Genomic DNA, 25585 nt, shown 5'->3' with positions numbered 1-25585 from the left:
ACAGTCACAGTAGTGTAACAGTAGCCAACAAACACGTGTGCCATCACCTTCTTGGGAAATCTGGGATGGTCTGTGACACTGAATAAAGGTGGAAAATCTTTGACAACTTTCTTGACCCGGACATGACACTTCAAGCCTCTTTTACATTGGGCCAATCATATAGTCTATTTGTTACCTATTTCTGCAAAACAGATTGCTCTAAATCTTGGCAGCTTGAAACAACAAGCATGTATCATGTCACAGTTTCTGTGAGTCTGGAATCTGGGTGAAGTTCAGCTGGATACCTCTAATTCAGAGAGTTCTGAGAGAGAGGGAAAGAGTACGGCAGAGCAGGAAAGGACAGGCATCAGTCTTTCTATGACCTAATCTTGGAAGCGATCCCATCACTTTTGCCATTAGAAACAAGTTGCTAGGTCCAGCCTGCACTCAACAGGATGGGGTTCTGAAAAAGCACAAATATCAGGAGATGGGGGTTGCTGGAAGCTCTTTTCGAGGCGCCTACCTCATCTGGGAAGAGGATAGTGCTGGTTTTCTGAGACTGAAGAAGTCATTGTTGGTAGAATAAATTTTGAAGGGGCTCAGCTTGCTATTTGCCTCTCTAAAGGTGAGAATTTATTTTGTAAAAATATTTCAGAGTCTTTAGTGGACCAAGAATTCTTATAAATCAACTGAGCATATTCTATATATGTAAGCTTAAAAGGGTACAAGACAATGCTCCTGCCTTGTGGGGACTTACTGTCTAGCTTAGCTGATAGGACATGAGTAGGTGGAAATATTCACAAATAAAACCTTGATAAAATACTGAATTAGGCCAGGTGCAGTGGCTCATGCCTGTAATCCCACCCAGCACTTTGGGAGGCCAAGATGAGCAGATCACTTGAGGCCAGGAGTTCGAGACCAGCCTGGCCAACATGGCGAAACCCTGTCTCTACTAAAAAAAAAAAAAAAAACTGCAAAAATTACCCAGGTGTGGTGGTGCATGCCTGTAATCTCACCTACTTGAGAGGCTTGTAGAGATTGCAGTGAGCTGAGATCATGACACTGTGCTCCAGCCCAGACAACAGAGTGAGACTCCATCTCACACACACACACAAATATATATATATATATATATATATATATATATATATATATATATATATATATATATATATTCCCCAGTGTATTTACATTCTCCTGTTTGGTATCTTGTGGAACTCGTGTCCCCAAGTCTTAGCAACACTAACATTTATTCTTGAATCCCACTTGCCACCAAGTCTTATGTATTCATACAGAAAATTTAGACTCTCATAAAAACCCCACCTCCCTAAATATTTCTGCATATTTCTAAGAGATGCTACGTATACTCCTGTATCAGTTTGAGCTCCACTTGTTCCAGGCCTCAGTCACTCAGAGACATGGTTTTCCTTTCACTTCCGACTGATCCACAAGGTCCTCTGCTCCCAGCGAGGGGTGTCCTCTGATGCCAGCAGTCCTCATGGTGCCTCTGGCAGCATGGAGGTTTCCTGTGAGTGAGAGGAGGACAGTGTCCTCAGTTTCTTGCTCACTTGCTGAGGGGATAGGGCTATAGCAGGGCTGCTGAGACACCAAAGGACCACAGAATTTAGTAAGACACTCTTTCATCCCAGCACACAGATACTTTTCTTGCAAGGGCATATGCATGCCATATGCACTAGAAACATATTCTCTTCTGTCCTATTCATTCCGATGGTCCCTGCATGCAGCCCATGAGGCACATCTGCATGTGTCCAGCTCTACTGTAGACATACATAGGTACTTTCTTTTTCCTCCCCCAACCCAAAACCAAAAAACCTCTAAATTTCCATATGCGTCAGTGGATGCAAACTGTGTCAGCTGATGGGGGAGGGGGTGTAACTCCACAAATGGGATGAATTCAAGTTTGAGCTCCTACGTGGGATTCTTGCTACATATAAAGAGACCTACAATTCCCACCTCCCAGAGTAGGATGGTCTGGAACCTGTCAGAACTTGCCCAGAGCTGGGTGCAGAACCGAGTCATAGCCACTGGTTTGTAGAACTCCCTGGACTGAAACCCTCACAGGAATAAAATACTTAGGACCACAAACTACAGCAAGGTGGAGAGGATCCTGCCTGGTCCCTGCCCTGTGTTATCTTTGGAGTAGAGTCAGTTTCTGCAATTGTTCCATGAAGTTGCTTAGATGCAATCTAGGGTTGGCTTCTCTTTGTTTAGTGATACCATTTGCCATGTGTATTAGCGTCCTAGGGCTACAGCAACAAATCACCACCAATTTGGTGACTTAAAACAACAGAAATCTTTTCTCTCCTAGACCTGGAGGCTGGAAGTCTGAAATCAAGGTGCTTGCAGGGCAGCGTTCCCTCCAGAGTCTCAAGGGGAGAATCTTTCCTTGCCTCTTCCGGCTTCTGTTGGCATCTGGTGTTCCCTGGCTACTTGTGGCAGCCTATCTCCAACTTCTGGCTTCCTCCTCCAGATCATTTCCTCCTCTGTGTGCATCTCTGTGTTTCCCTTCTTATAGGGGCACCTGTCACTGAATTTAGGGCTGCCTCTAAATCCAGGATGATTTCATCTCCAGAGCCTTAACTAGTGACATCTGTGAAGGTCTTATTTGCAAATGAGTCCCATGCTCAGGTTCTGGTAGACATGAAGTTTTGGGAGGGAGTACTAGGTGTTATGGGCTGAATGTGTCCCCGTGCCCCCCAAATTATATGTTGAGGTTGTAACCCTCTGTTCTAGGCTACATCTTCCCCCTCCCCCAGATTCATAGGGTGAAGTTCTAACCCCTAGTACCTCGGAATGTGACTATATTTGGAGATAAGGTTTTAAAAGAGGTAATGAAAGTAAAATGTCCTTACAGTGGGCCCTAATCCAGTATGACTGGTATCCTTATAAGAGGAAATGTGGACATAGGGAGGTTCAGAAGGAAGGTGCTGTGAAGGCACCGGAAGGAAAAGACAGCCACTCACAAGCCCAGGAGAAGCCTCGGAAGAAACCAACCCCAGCAACACCTTGATTGCAGACTTCTGGCCTCCAGAACTGTGAAAAAATAAGTCTCTGTTGTTTAATCCATGATACTTAATGACAGCCCTGGCTGACAAATACACTATTCAACCCATTACATGATAGGATGAGAAGAACCAAAATAACTCTAAGAGCATTTGTCTGCTATTCAAAGTTATTCATGGTGTTTTCTAGGAATGTGCTTATTTTAGTGAAACTATTTTAATAGATTATGTGGAGCCTGTAATGGTGGGTTTTCCTTCTTTCCTTCCTCATAGGTAACAGTATCGGGACCCTTACTGCACATGACAGGGATGAAGAAAATACTGCCAACAGTTTTCTAAACTACAGGATTGTGGAGCAAACTCCCAAACTTCCCATGGATGGACTCTTCCTAATCCAAACCTATGCTGGAATGTTACAGTTAGCTAAACAGTCCTTGAAGAAGCAAGATACTCCTCAGTACAACTTAACGATAGAGGTGTCTGACAAAGGTTAGTATCATATCCACCGTCTTGAGTGCAAATCATTGTTTTCCTTCTAGCTATGAGTTATTTTCCTGCGCTAATGTCTGGTATGTTATAGAATGATGCCATTTAAACATTCTTTGCTTCCTTTGTGAAACACACATAACACAGAGATAGCTGGTTGAACACTGTAAAGGCCGGAGCTGCAGCTCAGGCACCATTGTTGTGTTGGTCTGGGTCCTATGGGAAGCAGATGCCAAAAGGAGATTAAATGTACGAGGATTTTATTGGGGGGAGCCCGTGAGAAAAAATTGCGGAAGGGCACAAAGAAGGCTGGGAGAGTCATCAGACCTAAATACAAGCCTGATGCCTGACGCTGGGTGAAGGGGAGATGGAGAAGGAAGGCTGGTGGGAATGTCCTAGACTAGGACAGTCTGAGGAAAGCTTGGCACAGCTGTCGGGGAGTCTAAAGGGGGCTGTCAGAGGAATTCATTGTCTTTGAAAATGAGCTTTACAATTGCTGCTTTTCTCAGTCACTGGCTGTGTACAGTCCAGGGGAGTTGAGGTCTCAGTGTGAATGTGGTAATAGATTCCAGAGCACAGCAGTGGAGCTGTTGTCAATTAACAACCCTGTTGTTGGAGGTCTGCCAGGCACATTCTGCAGAACATAATCACAAACAGGAAAATGAATTGTATTTCCCAATTCTTGCTTTCAGACTGAAAGGACTCTACTGTAGGAAAGTGGAGGAGAAGAGCATCTTTCGGAAAGTTCTATCTTACCCTAACAGCTTCTAGTTGGCCGTTTGACAGTATCAGGAGACATTCTTCCCCATACTCCTTATACAATTGCAGAGCAAGTGGTTCTTAATCTCTATTGGGTCACAGGAACCTTTGAGAATCTGATAAAAACTATGCATTCTTAATCAACTGCACACATTGTTAAACAAATGTGCACAGACACACAAAATACCTGGATTCAAAGACAGACTCATTTCAAGGGCACTCAGACTCCTAGAAGGTCCTTTGAGTTAATGCGTACTAATCTTCGATTACCATATAATTCAGTAATTGTTCTGCTGGCAGGCACGGATGACACAGGTATGGAGAACAAACAAGAAACGTTTCACACTGTGCTTCATGTTTCTGTCCTTTACAGGGATATTGAGATACTAGGCAGAAGCCAGGTTTAGTAGGGCCCTAATGCGGAATGTTTGAAACCCAGTAATTTGACAAATATTAAGGCCCTAATATTTGTCTAGCATTATTGTAAGAGATAGAACAGATGTAAGTATAATAAACCTTCCCTATTCATGACGAGCTAACAATTTCACACTATCAACAGTCCATTCTTTCAGCAGTTATTCTGCATTTACCTATTTGAGGCACCATGCAAGGTACTGGGGAGACATAGATGATTCTGTCCTCAAGGAGCACTCATTCTGGTAGAAGAGACGGACATGTGAGTCAGTAAATTGCAAGGAACTGCCCAAGGTAGCCCATGAAGGAAATAAGTGACTCAGTGGAGGGAGAGAACAGGTACTGCTTTCTGGAAGAGGTATTTCTGAGCTGGGCTTTGAAGGATGAATATGACAAGTTACAAAATCATGTAGGACTTATGGGAGAGTGGGAATCCATGTGGAAATACATGAGGACCTGGAGCAATTTGAAGATAGAGTTTAAAGTGGGAATCAGATTACAAATTGTTTATTTGCATGAGTACGTCTATAGAAAATATGGACCAGATTATAAAATATATTAAAATACATGTGTGTGTTGATATAACTAAACATTCAACTGTGCACTACAGAAAACTAGAGACTAGGCTATAATTAACACAGTTTTACATAAAACCAGGGAAGGCCTTTTACCCAGAAAGGCCCACTGCTGGTCAAACGAGGTGTGTGCAGAGCAGTGAGCCAGTGGGTTCTGGGTCTGGGACCACTCCAGTCTTCAGCCATTCTTGTTGTCTACAAACGTTCTGAGGACCAGCCTTAACTTCAATCAATATCCACTTGGTTGTAATTGGATTGTTAATAGATTCTGTCCCTGGGATCATGTCCAGTGCATTGAGCACCAGCTCTAGAGTTAAACTACCTGGGAATATTAGTCAGGATCCCAGCAGGAAGTGGAGACTCCCCTCAAAGAGTTGAAAGAAGGGATTGTTTGCAAAGGTTGTGGGCAGGGTTAAGGGAAACCAACAGGAGGTGTGAAGCACAGTAAGCAGCATTTTCTGCCCTAAAACCTGAAGGAGCCAGGGAGGGGAGCATCCCCCAAAGGAGCAAGGCCTGTGCCTGTCACTAGAAGAGGGCTGTTGGCAACGGGGGCGTGACACCCCCAGCTACACTCTTCCTGTCCTCCCTCCAGTCTCTTGCCACGCCTCTCAGTGGCAGAACCCAACTGTTACCCTCAGGGTGAGGATGTACATTGATGCAGTTCATAAGGTCAGCCCCTTGGGCTACAGAGCACAGACAGAGGAATGGATGGTGGCTGCAGAGGGCAAAGGGAACCTCTGGGTTTGAATCCTGGCTCCATCACTAGTTAGTTGTGTGACCCTGGTTAGGTTACCTGAACTTCTCTATTCCCTGGCTTCCTCATCTGTTAATTAAATGGGAATGACAGTAGCACCTACAACATGAAGTTATCATGAAGATGAATGAGTAACTCGGGTAAACAATACAGTTGCTGCTATATAGAGGCCGCTAACAACTGTATTATGATGAAAACATCTGTTCTGTTATTCACAGTTTACAGATAAATTGAGTGAGGCACCCAAGCTCTCACATACATGCTAAGTGGCAGAGCCAGAGTCCAAACAGTGAATTCCAAGCCCAGAGTCTTAACCATTATACAGTGCAGTGCACCATGGTTAGAACAACAGCAACCCAACAAAGAACCTGTCATTTTATCTCTTGTTCTCTCTCCCCCAGGCATCCTGTCCCCACCTGCACTCCACACACATCTGGAATCTAGCTGAAGTGGCTGTGTGCCTAGGTCTTGGAATTGTGAAACCCATCCCTGAAAGCCTGGGTGATTTCTCCAGGGTTCCAGGAGCTACCTCTGTCCCCACCTTGCTTCCTGCAGGCTGGGTAGCCAGACTCTTGTGAACAGGCCAATGGTGGTAGTTCCTCCCTTATTTAGATAGAAGAGAGCAGGCCCTTGGACCTCACCATCATAGTAGTCAGAGCAGATGTAGGTTGGATGTGTTCAGAGAAGGAGAGACAGCCACTGGGATGCTCACAGAAGGCTTTCTGGAAGGACAGTTTTGCTCTGGACTTTGAAGATTACATAAGTTTCACTAGTCAGAAAAAGACTGCTTCACAAAAGGAAGCCATCCTGCTCAGGAACAAACCTTACCTAACTTTACTTAGGAGGACAGCAGGTGGACGGCAATGAAAAACCTAGAAAAATCTCTCTTAGATCTGTCTTTAGCCACCCTGCCCCACACTTGGTGACCACTTGGGTACAGGTGGGAAACAGAGAGCCCACTCTCTGCACAAATTGCATGTCAATTGCAAAATTGTGGCTATGGCTGTCACTTCACTTGCCAAGTATTTTCTTGCAGATTTCTGATATTAATGCATGGTTTTCAGTGAAAATTTCTATGACATATGACTTTGGTTTTCAGATTTCAAGACCCTTTGTTTTGTGCAAATCAACGTTATTGATATCAATGATCAGATCCCCATCTTTGAAAAATCAGATGTGAGTAGTTGTCATTATTTGTTTTTTCTTTACTTTATTCATTTTACTTCACCCTTTCTTCTGGGATAGAGACACAGACAGTAGCTAGGAAAAGTGCCAGACTTAACAGGTAACCTTGGTCAGTGCACAAATAACCCAGATGCCATCTTCAGTGGAACTTTTTGGGGAACAATAACATTTACTATTACAGGTGTCTGGGAACATTCATTTATAAACTCCTGCCAATAGCTCATTTATTCCAAGGGCTGCTTAAAAACAACAACCACAATCTTTGTCAAATTGAAAAAAGGTGAATGGCGGCTTACAGTTTGTCATTATATATTTTTTTGTGTTAGGACAATAAATAGATTTACTGCTAGGTCTCAAGCATTTTTAGCCAAAAATTTAATATTTGGAATATTGGCGATTTAATTTGTAATAATTGGGTAAGAGAAAGGGAGAAGAAAAAAATTAATCTCTGACTTAAGCCAAAGAAAAATGTGCCCAAGACATTTGAGAGAATTAGAACTGGACAGAAAGAAAAAAGTCAATTTAGAACCTCAAGAAAAATGCAAATTACTGTTTTCTTGTCATCGATAGGGCGTTCAGACTTGGTGATGACTTTATCATTGTTTCCCTAAGGAGGGAAGTCTCTATTTTGAAGGAGCAAGAAGCCTATTTGACTAGACTGTTATGTTATTTTTGAAGTCAGTTATGAGGCAGCCCAGAGCCCTGTGATGATGTTCATAAATCAAAATAGGGACAAGCCTGCAACAAAGAAGGGAATTGATTTATGAGGGGGCTAGGGGTGGGAAGAGGTGTGAGTGGATATGTCTTGTATAACAGGCACTGAGGTTCAGCAGGCATCAAATAACCCATTTCTTCTCAGCCTCCATTCTCTTGGGCTTTTGATCCTTTCCTAACTTTGTGACCTCCTCGCCTTTTATCGAGACAGTGTTTTTTAGATTGAGGGTAAGAATCCTGCACTTGAGGTCTCAGAGCTTAAATACTAATCTGGCTACAGAGAGTGAACCTGCTTGTTTCAATGCTGTGGTCCTCTCTTCTGAGACCTACTTATAACCTTCTTTAGGATCATGATGCCAAGAGAGATAATCTGGGGGATTTTCAGTGGAGTGGGAGATGGTCTAGGCCAGTGTTCAAGAGCATAGGCTTTGGAGTTGCACAAACATGGCTTTGAATCCCAATCCCTTTGACCCACTAGCTGTGTGACCCTTGGTGGGTTTTACTTCTCCAAGCCTTTGCTCCTCGTAAGTGGAGATGGTAACATAACTACTCCGTAAGGTGTTTTGTTGATTTTCTTTATTGAGCACTTACTATGTGCCAAGAATTTAGGAGCTTTACATGCATTGTCTCCCTTAACACCCACAGCAAACATGAAGTAGGTTCTATTACTATTGTCTCCATTGGACAGATGATGAAACTGACACTTAAAGAAGTGAAGTAACTTGCTTCAAGCCACTCAACTAATAAGAAGCAAGCCTACAATTCATATTCAGGCTGTTTAACTCCAAAGTTCAAGCTTTTAATCAACCTCTATTCATTGGTTGATTTAAGAATTAATTAAATAATGTATATAAAGTGCCTACCACCTGATAGATACTCAATACATGGTGGCTATTTATATCATTACTACTACAATAATTAAGTTATTAAACAAATTGGATATGGGAGGGGGAATTTGTTTTAGAATCCTACCAGTAGCTCTCTGAGGTATTGCGTTCTTTGGTACAATGGATATCAGCTCATGAGTATGACTGATGTTAAAATCAACTGCAATATATTCATCAATAGGAAAAAACATGCCCCATGAAGATTGATGCAAACTATGACTTGTGTCTATTCTGAAACCAGAGAGATAAGTTTGTCCTTTGGCTTTGATGACAGCAGACCTTCTCATTGTTTCCTTCTCCATTTTCTCCTTAGTATGGAAACCTGACTCTTGCTGAAGACACAAACATTGGGTCCACCATCTTAACCATCCAGGCCACTGATGCTGATGAGCCATTTACTGGGAGTTCTAAAATTCTGTATCATATCATAAAGGGAGACAGTGAGGGACGCCTGGGGGTTGACACAGATCCCCATACCAACACCGGATATGTCATAATTAAAAAGGTAAATAGCCCATTTATTTAATAGAATTTGTCTTTGTTTGTGGGTTAATTTACTAATGACAGTGTGAAGACCTATAAGCAGAGGTGATGTATTAGCAGCCATCTCTCAGGCATGGTGATGGGTTCCTGGATTCCTGGATTCCTCTTAGTCGTTCCTGTCTTCCTGACAGACGGGAAGTCAGGATTCTAGACCTGGCTCTGTTGCTAGCTAGCCAAGTAACTTTTGCAGGGAGGTAACGTCATATAAAATATATAAAATGCAGGATGAACAATTTTTTAGTATAAGTGTGTTCTATGCAATATTTGGGATGCACTTATACTAAAAACTTGTTTGTCATTTATCTGAACTTCAAATCGAACTTGGTGTTCTATGTTTTTATTTGCTATTTGCTAAATCTCGCAACACTCTTACGGTCTGGGAGTGGCACTCAGGGTCTCGCTTTCACTTCCCCCTTTGCAAATGTGAGGAGTTGGGTTGGATGACCCCATGGGCCTTTTAGGCTGTAAACCCTTTATTCTAATGTGCCAGGCAGAGATACCTTTTGAATAATGCAACTGCTGGGTCTCCTTCCAAGGTTTAATAGACAAGTGTCTTTTTAATCCCCCTCTCCGCTGCTTTACTTTCACCTTTTACTGTATTGCTAAGCCCACGGGCTCTCATTCTGTCTCTCCCTCTGTAAGGACTGGATAATCTGGAGTCAAAGTCTTAATTACCTTGGTTCCTGTCTCTTTGTACAGGATTCTCCCAACCCTCCCTCAATCTACTCCTGTCCCCTGCCATGTATACCTGAATCTTGACTCTTTTCTCTGTGGCTGCCTCATCTGTGTTTAGAGCATGTCATGGGTTTACCAGATGACTCAATTGGAAGCAGCACTCAATGCCGTCCAATGTACTTACAGTTAAGATACTTTCCTAGGAAAGAGAGTGAAACCTCGCTGTTAAAAAGGGCCAGAGAGAATCTGCAAGGGTGGCTAATTGTTTAAGGTTTGCAGTGCAGTGTGCTGGAAGCTGCAAAGGAAAGCTCTGGAGTACAGTTTTGAGCCAGAATAAAAGAAAACTGAAAGAGGCTAAAAATGAAGACAAAATAGAATAATTTCACAGAAAATGGACAGAAGCACAGAGAAAAAAGCACTAGTGCTGAAGCAAGCCCTAGGACAGAGCCTTGGAATTGTGATCCTACTGTTACCAAACATTCCAGCTTGAACCAAGGGCCCTGCTGCATTTCAGCAGAGAGGTTGCTGTGGACCAGCTCAAAGCCTTAGCCTTGTGTGTGAGTCTGACATTTGGAAAAGGTACCATGACAACCTCCCCTTGTGCTCACAGCAGTCTGCATGGAGAGAGAATACCACAGAAAGAAAGGATAAAGGAAAGGGCAGTTTTCAGAGCTTGCAGTGGGTTGGTGTGTTCCTTTGCAGGTGACGGGGGCAGCTTCCTTTTATCCTTTTGCAGGACCAGAGCTCTCTAGGAATCTAAGGGAAGATAGAGGCCCATCCATCCCAGTATGAACAAGGCCCGTATGTCATATTTTTTTGAACAGCAGTTTAACTTGGCCATTTGTGGTTAATGGGCCCTTTTAGGGAGATGTTGGCACCTATCTCAATGATTAGCTGTGGGTGAGAGCTGTAAGTATCCTCCCTCACAACTTGACACGAGAGGTATGCTACAGTAGAGTAGGCCTCTGACCAAACTCTTTGTCACATCCTTACTTTATATGTGGTTCTATTTCAAGTGTCTATTATGTCTCCTGGCATATATTAGAGGTTCAATAAATATTGCTTGACTTAATGAATAAATGAATTCTGTCCCATATACAATTATGAACAAGCAGACACATAAGTGATCATCGAACCTGTGCTTTAGGCCTGTGACATCCCAGCTCTCTGTCCCTTGGGCACTGTGATAACTGTCCTTGAGCAAGTGGATTTGTTCAACCATCCAGAGGCAGGTGATAACTGGCAGAACAGAACTGAGCCCTGGAACTCTGCAGGGTACAATCTGCTGGCCAGGCCAGATATCTATACTCCTGTTCACAATGACTAAGGGATACACTATACTCGTAACCAAACAGCACATCTTTTTTTGAGACAGATGCAGTGCCGCAGTCATAGCTCATTGCAGCCTCAACCTCTTGGGCTAGAGCAATCCTCCCACCTCAGCCTCCTAAGTAGCTGGGACCACAGGTGTGTGCCACCACACCCAGCTAATTTTTTATTTTTGTAGAGATGGGGGTCTCCTTATGTTGCCCAGGCTGGTCTTGAACTCCTGGGCTCAAGTGATCCACCTGCCTCAGCCTCCCAAATTGCTGGGATCACAGGTGTTTGAGCCACTGTGCATGGCCCAAAGTGCATATCTTGGACACCACTCATATCACCAAGAAAATTTATTTGTAAGATCACTTTGCTAATTAACAAACTTTCTAGTTCTAATTGAGATAGTGTTGGCTGAAGGACTATCATAGCTACCTCTGGGATATAGATCTCGGATTAGGTTCTTTCAGATGCTAAGCAACAACCAACCCTGGGCTGTGGATTCTTGATTAGGACACACCAAATGTTAGCCAATTCCCCACTAGGATATAGAATAAAAATATAACAAATGTATGTAGCCATACTATTTGTTATTGAAGTGTTTTATAGACTATATAATTTGGTTTTTTATGTATGGCTTTGTCTTCTAAGTCCTTGCCTATTAAGCCATCAAGGGACTACCACTGTTCTGAACCACTGTGTTAATAATTTTTAAAAGTTTAAGTTTGTTAATCACAATTATATCATTAACAGTTCATCTGAATTACAAATGTGCTAATCACAGGTAAAATTCACTGAGGGACTCATACGTGGCAACTATAGTTTGTTTGCATAAACTCTCTTGCTTCTCCCACTGATTCTGAGGGAGGCAGAAATTCAGGCCCACAGCAAGGTACAGTCAGGCCTTCTGGTGATGGCAGAGCCGGGAACTTGACTCCAGGCCTCCACCTCCTCTCAGGAAATAATTTCTGTGAGTCCTGGTGTTGCCACTTACTAGCTTGTGGCCTTGACCAAATGATGTAACCTCTCAGGCCCCAGTTTTCCAATCTGTAAAAATGGGTAAAATGGTAGCACCTTTCTAGTAAGGATGTTGAAGAATTAAATGCAAAAGTATGTGTATAGTTCCTAACACAGCATCCAGCAGCTTGCAGACTTAAACACGTGGCATCACTTGATTCTAATTAATTAGAGCTAGGATTCTACCTGCGGACAGGTATGCTTTCCCCTGTTGCCTAAGGGGGCCAAACTTGCCTAATTCAAGAGTCAGATGGTGCATACTGAGGACTGCGGCCTCAGCCTCTCAAGGGGAAAGCCTGGAAATGAGTAATTTTGGCAAGTGCCCAAAGCAATCCTTCAGATTAAACAACTGTCAGAAATGCTCCCTGCTCTGTATTTACTTCTGCCCAAGCTCCAGCCTCTCGTGTGCTTGGTTATCATGCTCTTGGGGCCAAACGTGTGTCATGAGCAGGAAAGCTATTTCTTTGAGCCCTGCCTGGCTCAACAATAACTCTCCTGAGATCCTGTTTCTTGAAATTCAGGGTTCTGCCTTATTTTAACTTGCAAATTTTGTCACTTCTCTACTATGGCTGATCCTTTTGAATTCTCAGTTCACTAGCTATTTTTAACCAGACCAAATGTCATCTGGAAAACTAATGTGCACACTTTGATATCATCAGTGATCGCTAGTGAAAATTGTAAATATCCCAGTCTCAACCCCTCTCCTTCAGCATTTTCTTTGCCTCCAGGTTGAATCTAAATCTCTAGGTTTGACCTTTCAGGCGGTTTTGTGCACAAAAGGAATCGTGGTATGAGCAGGTTTTTTCAGTTAACTTGAATATGTCTTGCCAGATGGGACTGAGGCCATTCCAAGAGGCAGTGACGGGTCTCTTGACTTGGCCTCACAGTCATATCCCCAGGTCATGAAACACAATGCACGTGGCCGGACAAGGCTTGTTCTTGGCTCAGCTCTGCTTATTACCATGTGCTAATTTAGCATCTTCCGTTTATAATGATTTCTCCAGAAGATTTGGTTTGATGTTTTTCCAGGTGTGGAAGTTATGCGGATAGAATCCTCAATGGCAGGCTGCTGCTTTTCATTTGTTCTTCCATCCAGTGTTTAGGGAACACTGACACTGCCTTCTAGCTAGTCTTCCCGCCCCAGTGTGGATCACCTCGAATCCATCCCCCATGTAGCTGCTCCTGGAGTTATCTTTCTAAGACACACATCTGACCTTGTTAGTCAAGGATGAAGTTCCAACTCCTCAGCTCGCCGTACAGTCTTGTCTTTCCACTGTCAGCCTTGCACGTTCTCTTCTGGTAATACAGGCTGCTTCTCATTTGCACACACAGTGTCTCATTTCTTTAAACCATTGCCTCTGGGGCCACAGTGATGGGATGAGGAAAAGCCAGGGAGGGTGCTTAGGACCTGCTTGGTGGTGAGGATGGATGCATGTGCTCTGTCTGAGCATATGGACAACTGTGCTGCCTGCCTGGGCCCGGACTTTGCTGGACTGGATAGGAACAGAGAGCTGTGTCCTTTGTCCCCATCACAGGCTCATTCTGGGGGCTGCTGCCTTCCTGCTTGGTCTACTAGGCTTTTATCTCAACTGGACAGTTCTGTCATCCCCTGAGACTGGGAGTGGGTCCTGTGAGTGAGAAACTCCAGCTTGTTCTCCCCACCTCTACTTCAGGGGGAGAAGCCCTAATTGAACCGTGGACCACGTGACGTGTATTGGACCACGTCACGAGGTCGACGAGGGCCAGGCCCTGCAGACAGTGGGTGCTTATCACTATGAACAACCTCTTTTTTCACACTTAGCTGGCTTACATGATTTTATCTCTTATATATTTGAACAAATTTCAATTGATTCTTCTTTCTCAACCCCGAGTCTTCACACACAGTTCCCACCCTTCTACGTGAAAAATTGTCCCACAGCACTTATGAACTAGAGAGTGAGTCATGATGGTGTGTGTTGGTGCATGCATGCGGGAAAGGGGATTCTGGAAGGTGGGGATGTTCTCCAGAATCTCCTCTCCATGGAGGCCCTCAAGGACCAGGCCTTCCTGGTCTTTGTAGTTCCTGACCAGCCCACTGTGGGCACTATGTGTCAGGGAAGAGATGAGAAGCAAAGATGAATATGATGCAGTTCTTCTTCTCATGGAGCTTAGGGTCAGTGAAGATCTAAAATACATCAACACTTAGATCTATTAGGTGCTATGAGACTGCACAGGATGTGCAGCTTGTCAGTTTGAGGATGGAATGTAGGGATCAGGAAGCCGACACGGAGAAGACAGCAGTAAGCCCACTCCTGAAGAGGGGGAGTACTCTTGGGTAGCCCTGTTAAATTCTGCCTCATATTAAACCAAAATTGGTTTCTTGATGTTCATTCCTGGTTCCATCTGGCATGTCCTCAGCAGATCATCTGTCATCTCTGTTTCCCTTTCCCATCCTCCATGAGTTTAAAATCTTTGATTTGGGGGCTTGAGTTTTGAGGCCCTTGGAAAATCATTTCCCATAAAAAATGGAAATCTCTATGTAAGCATTTCTCAAGCTGTCACCTGAGAATGTCTTGGGAGAATCAATACATTTCTGTTGAATAAATGAAGTGTCCCACAGTTAAATAAATTTGAGGACTTCCGTGTTCCAGTTCCTCTTCTAAGACATATTAGCGTAGTGCAAGCTCTGGTAAGACCTGCAGAAAAGACTCTTTCATGGCTCTGTAATCATTCTGAGAAGGTTTTTGCTGACACTCGATTGAGAACCACTGCTATGAAAGTTTGTCTTGTTTATAATTGACAAAAATTGTATAGGAGGACAACATGTTTTGAAATATACATACATTGTAGAATGACTAATTAGAGCTAACTAGCATCTGAATTACCTCACTTATCATTTTTTGTGATGAAAACACTTAAGATCTACTCTTCTGTGATTTTAAAGTATACACTATATTGTTGTTAACTATAGTACCACGTTGTAAAATAGATATTTTAAACTCATTCCTTCTAACTGAAATTTTGCATGCTTTTACCAGCACCTCCCCAATCTCCTCATGCCCCAGCTCCTGGTAACCAACATTCTACTCTCCAAGTTCAACACCTTTAGATTCCACATACAAGTGAGAACATGTGGTATTTGTCTTTTCATGCCTGGCTTATTTCACTTACCGTAATATCTTCTAGGTTCATCCGTGTTATCACAAATGATGGAACTTCCTTCCTTTTTAAAGCTGAACAGTATTTCATTGTGTGTGTGTATATATATATGTGTGTGCGTGTGTATGTATGTGTATGTATGCATATATATACTGCATTTTGTTTATCCAGTTGTTTGTTGTTCGACACTTAGGCTGATTCCATGTCTTGGCTATTGTGAATGATGCTGCAGGGAACATAGGAGTGCAGATATCTCTTTGACATACTGACTTTATATACCCAGTAGTGGGATTTCTGGATCGTATGGTAGTTCTATTTTTAATTGTTTGAGTTTCCTCCATACTGTTTTCCACAATGGCTATTGTAATTTACATTCTTACCAACAGTGTACAGGGTTCCCTTTTCTCCACATCCTCACCAATGTTTGTTTTTTGTCTTTTTGATAAGTCATTCTAACAGGTGTGAGGTAATATCTCATTGGGGTTTTAATTTGCATTTCTCTGATGATTAGTAATGAGCATTTTTTTCCATATACTTGTTGGCTATTTGTATGTCTTCTTTTGAGAAATGACTATTCAGGTCCTTTGCCTAGGTTTTAAACAGGTTGTTTTCTTGCTACTGAGTTGTTTGAGTTCCTTATAAATTTTTTATATTAATCCTTTTTCTAATGTGTATTTGCAAATATTTTCTCCTGATCTGTAAGTTGCTGCTTCACTGTTTCCTTTGCTATGTAGAAGCTTCTTAGTTTGATGCAATCCCATTTGTCTATTTTTGCTTTTGTAGTCTGTGTTTTTGGGGTCACACCTAAAAGATCATTGCTAGGCTGGGCATAGTGGCTCACGCCTATAATCCCAGCATTTTGGGAGGCTGAGGTGGGTGGGTCACTTGAGGTCAGGAATTTGAGACCAGCCTGGCCAACATGGCAAAACCCCCTTCTCTACTAAAAATAAAAGGGTGAGTTTCCTCTATCTCGTGAGATGGTTTGCCCTTCTGTCATAGGATAACACAGCACAAAGTCCTCAACAGATGCTGGTGCCATGTTCTTAGGCTTTCCAGCCTCTAGAACTGAGAGTCAGATAAACTTCTATTCCAGCCAGGCATGGTGGCTCATACCTGTAATCCCAGCCCTTTGGGAGGCCAAGGTGGGCAGATCACTTGAGGTAAGGAATTTGTGACCAGCCTGGCCAACATGGTGAAACCCTGTCTCTATTAAAAATACAAAAATTAGCTGGGTGTGGTGGTGGGTGCCTATAATCCCAGCCACTTGGGAGACTGAGGCAGGAGAATCACTTGAACAAACCTGGGAGGCGGAGCTTGCAGTGAGCCAAGATTGCGCCACTGCACTCAAGGCTCAAGGCTGGGTGACAGAGCATGAGGCTCCATCTCAAAAATAAAAAATAATAAAAAAAGATCATTGCCAAGACCAATGTCAGAGTTTTCTTCTATGTTTTATTCTAGTGGTGTTATAGTTTCAGGTCTTATATTTTGTCTGTAATCTATTTTTAACGGATTTTCATATATGGTATGAAATAGTCTAATTTCATTCTCCCACATGTGGATATCCAGTTTTTCCAATATTATATATCGAATATATGAGAGTTTAAGAAGGATAGGGAATGAATCTTTTAAGGGAGCTAATCACCCCAAAATTAATTTTCTCTCTTTCTCCTACACAGCCTCTTGATTTTGAAACAGCAGCTGTTTCCAACATTGTGTTCAAAGCAGAAAATCCTGAGCCTCTAGTGTTTGGTGTGAAGTACAATGCAAGTTCTTTTGCCAAGTTCACGCTTATTGTGACAGATGTGAATGAAGCACCTCAATTTTCCCAACACGTATTCCAAGCGAAAGTCAGTGAGGATGTAGCTATAGGCACTAAAGTGGGCAATGTGACTGCCAAGGATCCAGAAGGTCTGGACATAAGGTAAAGGGCAACAGTGCTGGGCAGGCCTGGCTGCGTGGTCACCAAAGCCAATGGGGAGGAGGAGGAGCTGGCCTGCACTGACTCCAGGGCTGACCCTCACAGCATACCCAGCAATGATGAAATTGGCTTTGGTTTAGGAAGCTGTCAACACCCTGGGGGCATTCCAAGGGATGGTGGTTCATCAATAACCATCTAGGCTCAGACAAGTGGGAAGCAGCATGAGGTTCCATTCCAGCCCATGAGCTTCAGGTCCCAGCTGAGAGCTGGATGGTTCAGGAAGTGAGGTTCACCTCTGAGAGACTAGAATAACCAGGCCCTGTGTCTAAGCCTGTTATCTAGGCTAGGGTTTAGGAAAGGGTTCCAGCCCTAAAGGTGTATTGGAGTTCTAGACAGAGACCAAAGCCCAATTGGACAGACCATGCCAACTTACAGGGCTGAGGGAATCTTCTGGATGTAGGATACATAGGTTCCTTGGCTCCAAAGAGCTGATCTAGGGCACCCCTGGAGAAGCTGGTGCTCTGGCTGAGGTGGCTAAACAAAATGTGTAAATATTTCCATCTTAGCAATTCCTTTTTTTCAGTTCAGTAAGACCCACACAGATTTGCCTTAAAAAGTACAATGATGATTAACTTAAGAAATATATGTTTGTATATATCTGTATAATATCTATAAAATCTTTAAGATCATGTAGTTAAGACTTGAACTCAGATCTTTCGCTGCTGTTGTACATTACACCTCCTGTCTATGGCATAGGAAATATTTCAGCATGACTTAAATCACGCGTGTGGCTATGAATGGCAGACAATTCCTTAAGTTTCTCTAAACATCTGGAGGGAGTCTTGCCTCCCATTGAGCTGTCCTTCAGGCACTTGGATTCACTTCTAAGACCTTTATCTGATCATTGAGAAGCAAAGTTACCACCTGCAGTTTTACTCTAACTACTTCTGTAGTTTTACAGAGAAGAAAGAACAGTAGGGGATATACTGTATGGTTTAGTGTAGATACTACTGGGTCAAAAATTATGAGAAGACACAAAATGTTTTTAATCTTTATACCATTTATTTAACAAAAGTTCCTATCTTCTTCATGAAAATGCTATAAAAACCATTGGTCAAAGACGTGAATAAAAAGTTTATCAGTGGGAAAAATAAAGGCATGTAAGAAAATTACTGTGATGAAACAAGGAAAGGATACATATACCATTAAGTTGAGGTCAGGAAGAGGAGGTTAGCAAGGGAGACTGAGAAGAGGTGTTCTGTAAGGTACAATTCCAGAAGACAAATGAAGAAAGTGTTTCAGGAGTAAGGAATAATCAATAGTTCAGACATGAGTAATAAGTCTGTTAAGAATTAAGGATGACTCCAGTGTTGGTCTGAGTAATTTAATTCTCCAGCTCCACAAACTTAAAATCTGTTAGCACCCAATGGATTTGAATCCAATCCTTCAGCAAATATTATAGATTCTTTTATTGAAATATATTCAGAATCCACCTGCTTCTCCCTGCTTCCAGCCTGCTCCAAGGCACCACCATGTCTGTTCTGGATTCGTCCTTGCCCCTGCCGTCCCCCACCCCACTCTGAATCTACTCACTGAATTGCAGTCAGTGACCTTTTAAAAAAGTCAATCAGATCATCTGACTCCTCTTTCAAAACCCTCCAAAGCATTCCATCTCTTTCAGGATGAAATCCCAAGTATAAAGGGTTTCATACTCATTACCCATGTATATAACCTAACACAGTGTTTGGCATATGGAATATACTAAAAAAATACATTGTGGGAAATTAACACATCATACTTTTTTAATGATTCTCTTGTCCTTTGATATGTAGGTTGCTTCCAGTATTTTTTATTATAGAAAATGTTTTAAATAGATGTATGCATGTAATTCTTTTTAAACTTTGATTAAATTGGGTTTTTTTAGGTAGCATTTCCAGGAGTGAAATTATTTGGTCTAAAGATATGGACATCCTCATGACTATGATGTGTTGCTTTTTAAAGGACTACCATTGGTTTTCCTGTGGTTCTAGTCTTGTCTGTCTCAACTTCATCTTCCAAACACCTACCAATGAGCTCCGTTGAAAGCACAAATATGGCCAGGTCACCTTCTTGCTTAAATCATTGGCTGGCTGCCCATTGCTTCTTGTGATCTGGCTCTTCAAATCTCTGTGGCTTCACCTTTTGCCACCTTCTGCTTCCCAAGTATACCCCAGCACTGCTGAAATGCCTGACCCCACACTCACCATGCTGTTCCTTGGCCCTTGGTGCTTTATCTCACACTCTTCCTTCTACTTGAAGCGTCTTCTTCTTGCCTTAAACATCTACTACTTCAGAAAGACTTTGCTGATTCCTGTAAACTTCTCTTGGATTCCATAGGGCCCCCTCTGTTGTGTTTACCACATTTTATTGGAATCAACTGTTTATCTGTCTATCTCACTTGCCTAAGAACACCTTTTTGTGATCTCTTCCCTTGGCCCACTGCCTGATCTTCCTCAGCACTCAATAGATGTTTGTTGGATGAGGAATTCACTGTGTTACCAGGGTCTATGAGTATCCACCCATCTCGCCCAACGTTTCCACCACTGGGTGTTCAAATTTTCTAGGTGGGTGGTTTGCTAAGAGGTTTTAAAAGATACTTCCAGGTTACTTTAATTTGAGTTTTTGATTGCCAGAAAAGTTTAACTACTTTCCCCAGAAGTTGTGAACTATACCCTTCCTAATACAAGCACAAACACCACATTGTAAGGATGAACAAATCCTTTTGAAGACAGATGAAATGCAAATAAAGCATTAATAATATGAGATAATAGATCCTTTAAATATGTTTTAAATAATATACAAGTAATGCTGATAATGATAATCTCAGCATTATCATTTGTATATTATTTACAACATATTTCAAGGATGCACAAACATATTTAGTTGACGCACAAACTAGCTTCACATTTTCATGCAAAGTAATGCAGGCTTTCTTTTGCTCTTTTCATTTGATGAAGCTATTCACTGAGGGGAGACACAAGAGGTTGGCTTAAAATTGACCACGTGACTGGTGAGATCTTTAGTGTGGCTCCATTGGACAGAGAAGCCGGAAGTCCATATCGGGTACAAGTGGTGGCCACAGAAGTAGGTAAGCAAAAAAAAAAAAAAAACAAAAAAAAAGGAACACAGATTATCAGAAGATACATGGGTTGAAATGGGAGGGAGGATAAGAAAACTGACAGGGCCAAAACACCAGAATATCACAACCTTAAAGTGGAAGGATGAGAAGGGTACAAAATATAAGGGAGTGCTCATATCTTCCTTTTTTTTTTTTTTTTTTTTTTTTTTTTGAGATGGAGTCTTGCTCTGTTGCCCAGGCTGGAGTGCAGTGGTGCGATCTCCACTCACTGCAACCTCCACCTCCTGGGTTCAAGCAATTCTCCTACCTCAGCCTTCCGAGTAGCTGGGATTACAGGCACCCACCACCATGCCTGGCTAATTTTTGTATTTTTAGTAGAGACAGGGTTTCACCATGTTGGCCAGCCTGGTCTCAAACTTCCGACCTCAGGTGATCTGCCTGCCTCCACCTCCCAAAGTGCTGGGATTACAGGTGTGAGCCACCACGCCCAGCCCCTTTGTGGTTTTGTTAAAGGTGAAAAACACCTGTGCCCCCAGCAGGGCTGCTGCTCACTCTGTGGTTTCCTGTAGGGGCTATGGCCTCTTCTAGAGAGTTCTGTGTCCCTGGCTGAACTACCTCCCTTCTTCCAATGTGGTTGTGGGTTTCCCCCAGGAGCTCTGAGTGGAATCAAACCACTGACCTGTTCACGTAGACCACCACTTGCTCCTTCAGCCTTAAATTGTAACTCTCATCCTTTTTGAAGCAGAAAATGTTTTATGAAATGTTCTCTACTTTGATGTGTGTGAGAATCCCCGGGGAGCTTGTTGAATAACACTAGGAGTCCACCCCTGGAGTTTCTGATTCCATAGGTTTGGGTGAACAAGGGGTATCTGTGTTTTGACGAAATCAGGTGAACTTTTGAAAGGAAAGACAGAAAAGCCCAGGATGTTTGAGCCATTCCTGTGTAATCTTTGTATCTTATTTATTTTAGTTGTGCTGATATATATTGCCTGCTGGCTCCAACTGTGGAGTTCCAGAGAACTTTTTTAAAATAAAAATAAACACATAGGAATAGTATGTTTACCCAATAATAAGCCTGGCAACTAAAAAAGAGTTTCTTTGCATTTTCATGGAATTTTCAGACATACAAGTAGGAAATCTGTTGATCCAATGTTGACCAGTCTCTAATTAGCTAGTAAATGTATCTGGCAGGTTTACCAAAAAAGAGAATTAAACAAATTACTCAATAAATATGTTTTTAGACTCCCCCACCACAGCCCCGGAAAAAAACTTTCAAAATGTGAGGGCCAGGGTTGAGAGCTGAATTGGAGAAGAGAGACAGGAATCATAAAAACGGCCCCTGCATGTGGAAAGATTAAGAAAAACAAAATTACTTCAGTCAAGTCAAACCAAAAAGGGTAGAATGCAGAACGGTGTGCCAGCTTGGGAGGGGTGTGTGTGAATGGACAGGCCCTCTGCTTCTGTCTCTTGCTTGAGTGCAGCACATTCCACTATCACATTGTATACATTTAACTCTTGATTTAAAACCTCCCAGTGAAGCAGCAGGCAGGTTCTGGCTGAGCCTTTATGCTGTGCACACCCCTTTCTCATACCATGGGGATCAGAACTTCACTCTGGATGTGTCCCAAGAGTTTCTCACATTCTAGAAGTTTCAGAAATCAAAACCAGGGTCCAAAACCCTGTTCTGTTTTTAGTTTCTGGCACTGACATGATATAAATAGATACAATAACTTCGAGAACACAGTGGCCTTTTCTTCTTTGGTTAAGTATAGCCATGGACATAGACGATGTTGAGAAGAAAATCAAGAAAACAGGGTTTACTAGAAATGAGCAAGAAAACATTACTGGAATCAAACAAGGTCAGAGTCAGAAGTTGTAGAAACAATGTCTGTGATTGGTGTTGAGGAGGACATGATAACAGTCAGTGTTTATGTTGCACTGACAGCCCCATACTGAGCACTTAGTGTAATAACTTACTCCTCATACAACACTATAACGTAGGTGCTATTATTGACCACATACTGTGAACAAGGAAACCAAAGCACTGAGAAATTAAGTAACTTGCCCAAGATTACATAGCTACCAACCAGTTATGCTGCAGATCCAAGTTTTTTACTCCTATCATATAGTAAATAATGTCTGTGGAGCCTTTTACTATTTTCCAGAACATTCACTCATATGTGGGATTCTTGCAAAGCCACACAGCTGAAGAAAATAAGCTTAGAAAACTCTACTAACATGCCTAAGGCCTGCTAAAGAGCAAGTGAAGGTGTGAGTGCTAGAGTTAGACCTCTTGGATTGAAAACCTCTCTGCCTTGGGCAAGTTACACAACTTCTGAGCTCAGTTTTCACAATTATTTTGAAGTAATATATGTAAAATATTAGCACATATCTCTTAGTTATTATTATGATGGTCAGTAAGACTTTTTCACCAGTAATGAAACTAGGTCTTTGATTCTAAAAGCTTGTCGTCTTTCTAGCATCTCAGTGTACCTAACTCCTTGAATTTTAAAGAAAGGGAAATCTTTCTTATTAAGAGGAAAATGAGTGAACTGATCCCATGTTTCAATCATTCAATTCCTTAGGGGGGTCTTCCTTGAGCTCTGTGTCAGAGTTCCACCTGATCCTTATGGATGTGAATGACAACCCTCCCAGGCTAGCCAAGGACTACACGGGCTTGTTCTTCTGCCATCCCCTCAGTGCACCTGGAAGTCTCATTTTCGAGGCTACTGATGATGATCAGCACTTATTTCGGGGTCCCCATTTTACATTTTCCCTCGGCAGTGGAAGCTTACAAAACGACTGGGAAGTTTCCAAAATCAATGGTGAGTTGTCAGAAATACATGGAAAAAAACATAGATGGATGATGAAAGTAGGTTTTATTTAACTTGGTGGGTTTGCTGTACTCAGCAAAGAGCTTTCTTTCATGCTTCAGGAAGGAAGTTCATGCTTTGGAAGCTTGTACAGGGAAGGACTCCAGAGGGGAAAAAGCCCCAGGATTTCAAGGGAGGAAAGATTATGACCACACAGCATTCTCTTGGTGTAGATGAACAGTTGGATGACCTAAGCATCATTTGCAAAATTTTCAATGACAGATGGAAAGCAGATTTTATAGAAATTTTTTAAAACTTTGAGATAGATATATATATTCAAAGTATACAATTTTATGAGAATTGATTACATGTAAATACCACTGAAGCCATCAGCACAATCAAGACAATGAACATTTCCACCACCTCCAGAAGATATTTCATGCCCTATTATAATCTCTGCTTCCCACCCATCCCCTCTCCCCAGGCAACCATTGAAGTGCTTTCCATTACTATAGTTTTCATTTTCAATAATTTCATCTAAATAGAATAGTATAGTATGTATATTTTTTTTGGTCTGGCTTCTTTCATCTCAGTATTTTGAGATGTATCGGTGTTGTTACATGCATCAGTACTTCATTCCTGATTATTGAGGGGTAGTATTCCATTGAATGACTATACCTGTTCACCTGTTGATTGTAACTCCAACTTTTGCTATTACAAAGCTGCTGTGAGGATTTGTGAACAAATATTTTGTAGGGACAAAGATTTGCAGTTTTCTTGGTTAAATACTGAGGAGTGGAATGGCTGGGTCATATGGGAGTTATATGATTCAGTTGTTAAGGAAAGGTTGAACTACTTTCCAAATTGTTCTTAACATTTTACATTCCCACCAGTGTGTGAGAGGTCCAGTTGCTCAGCATTCTCCCAGCACTTGCTGTGCTCAGCCTCTTTAATTTTAGCCATTCCAGTGGGAGTGGAGTAGTATCTCATAATGGTTTTATTTGTATTTCTCTAATGACTAGCGGTGTTGAGCATCTTTTCATATGCAATTTGCCATCCATCTTCACTGGTGAAGTGTCTTGTTAGATATTCATTTTTTAAAAATTAGGCTGTTTGGATTCTATTGCTGAGTTGCAAGCATTTTTAATATACATAGATGATGTGCTTTGTTAGATATATATCTTTTGTAAATATTTTCTCCCAGGCCATGGCTTGTCTTTTCATTTTGCAAGTCTTTTAAAGAGCAAATTTAAAAATTTTGGTATCTATTTTTTTCATGTTTTATTCATGATTTGTATGTTGTGATGCTTAAATTTTTGCCAAACTTAGGGTCCCTAAAGTTTTCTGTTTTTTTCATTTCCCAAATTTTATAGTTTTAGCTTTTGCATTTAGCTCTATGCCTTTTTAAGGTAATTTTTGTATAGGCATACCTCATCTTATTGCACTTTGCTTTATCGTGCCCAATGGATCTTCCATTTTTTTATAAAATGAAGGTTTGTGGCAACAAAGTCTCTTGGTGCCATTTTTCCAACAGCATGTGCTCACTTTGTATGTCTGTCACATTTAGGTAATTCTTAAACTTTTTCATTATTATATCTGTTATGCTGATCAGTGATCTTTGATGTTATTATTATAATTATTTTGGGACACCCGGAGCCATACTCACATAAGACGACAAACTTAATCTGTCAGTGCGACGTCGACGTACGTTCTGACGCTCCACAGACTGGCTGTTTCCCCATGTCTCTCTCTCTCCTTGGGCCTCCCTATTGCCTGAGACACAATATTGAAATTAGGCCAATTAATAACCTTAAAATGGCATGTAAGTGTTCAGGTGAAAGGAAGAGTCACACATCTCTCACTTTAAATCAAAAGTTAGACGTGATTTAGCTTAGTGAGGATGTTATGTTGATAGCCAAGATTGGCCAAAAACTAGGCCTCTTGCATGAAATGCTTAGCCAAGTTGTGAAGGCAAAAGTTATTGAGGGAAATTAAAAGTGAACCTACAGTGAACACAAATAATAAAAAAGCAAAATAGCCTTATTGCCATTAAGGGAGAAAGTTTGAGTGGTCTGGATAGAAGATTAAAACAGCAACAATAGTCCTTTAAACCAAAATCTAACCTAGAACAAGGCCTTAACTCTTCAATTCTGTAAAGGCTGACAGAGGTGAGGAAACTGCAGAATAAGTTTGAAGCTAGCAGAGGTTGATTTATGATGTTTAAGGAAAGAAGCTATTTCCATAACAAAGTGCAAAGTGATGCAGCAAATTGA

At 41.8% G+C, this 25585-nt stretch overlaps 1 protein-coding gene and 1 long non-coding RNA gene across 15 annotated transcripts in view; one reads left to right on the top strand and one right to left on the bottom strand.

Moving 5' to 3' along the window:
* The window catches only part of CDH17 (cadherin 17), a 90117-nt gene that overhangs the window by 48027 nt on the left and 16505 nt on the right, over nucleotides 1-25585 (top strand). For 13 of the 14 annotated variants that reach the window (NR_182224.1, NM_001144663.2, NM_001413954.1 and 10 more), the window contains 6 exons: nucleotides 3276-3491; nucleotides 7090-7166; nucleotides 9090-9281; nucleotides 17140-17384; nucleotides 20378-20508; nucleotides 23085-23324. Coding sequence is in view for 13 of the 14 variants with exons in the window: in NM_001144663.2 (NP_001138135.1) it covers nucleotides 3276-3491; nucleotides 7090-7166; nucleotides 9090-9281; nucleotides 17140-17384; nucleotides 20378-20508; nucleotides 23085-23324 (1101 nt within the window). In the remaining variant the exon portion in view is untranslated. The remainder of the gene's footprint in view (nucleotides 1-3275; nucleotides 3492-7089; nucleotides 7167-9089; nucleotides 9282-17139; nucleotides 17385-20377; nucleotides 20509-23084; nucleotides 23325-25585) is intronic. The other variant, NM_001413959.1, reaches the window with a different exon arrangement.
* LOC105375647 (uncharacterized) lies at nucleotides 1161-25496 on the bottom strand. The gene is made up of 3 exons (XR_007061012.1): nucleotides 24979-25496; nucleotides 2964-3033; nucleotides 1161-1505 (listed from the first exon to the last, which is right to left on the bottom strand). It is a non-coding gene; the product is annotated as an uncharacterized LOC105375647 (long non-coding RNA).

The sequence above is a fragment of the Homo sapiens genome, chromosome 8 (assembly GCF_000001405.40).
Source record: "Homo sapiens chromosome 8, GRCh38.p14 Primary Assembly".
Classification (NCBI taxonomy): Eukaryota; Metazoa; Chordata; class Mammalia; order Primates; family Hominidae; genus Homo; species Homo sapiens.
The sequence above is the reverse complement of the archived record's forward strand: the minus strand, read 5'-3'. Positions and strand labels throughout refer to the sequence as shown.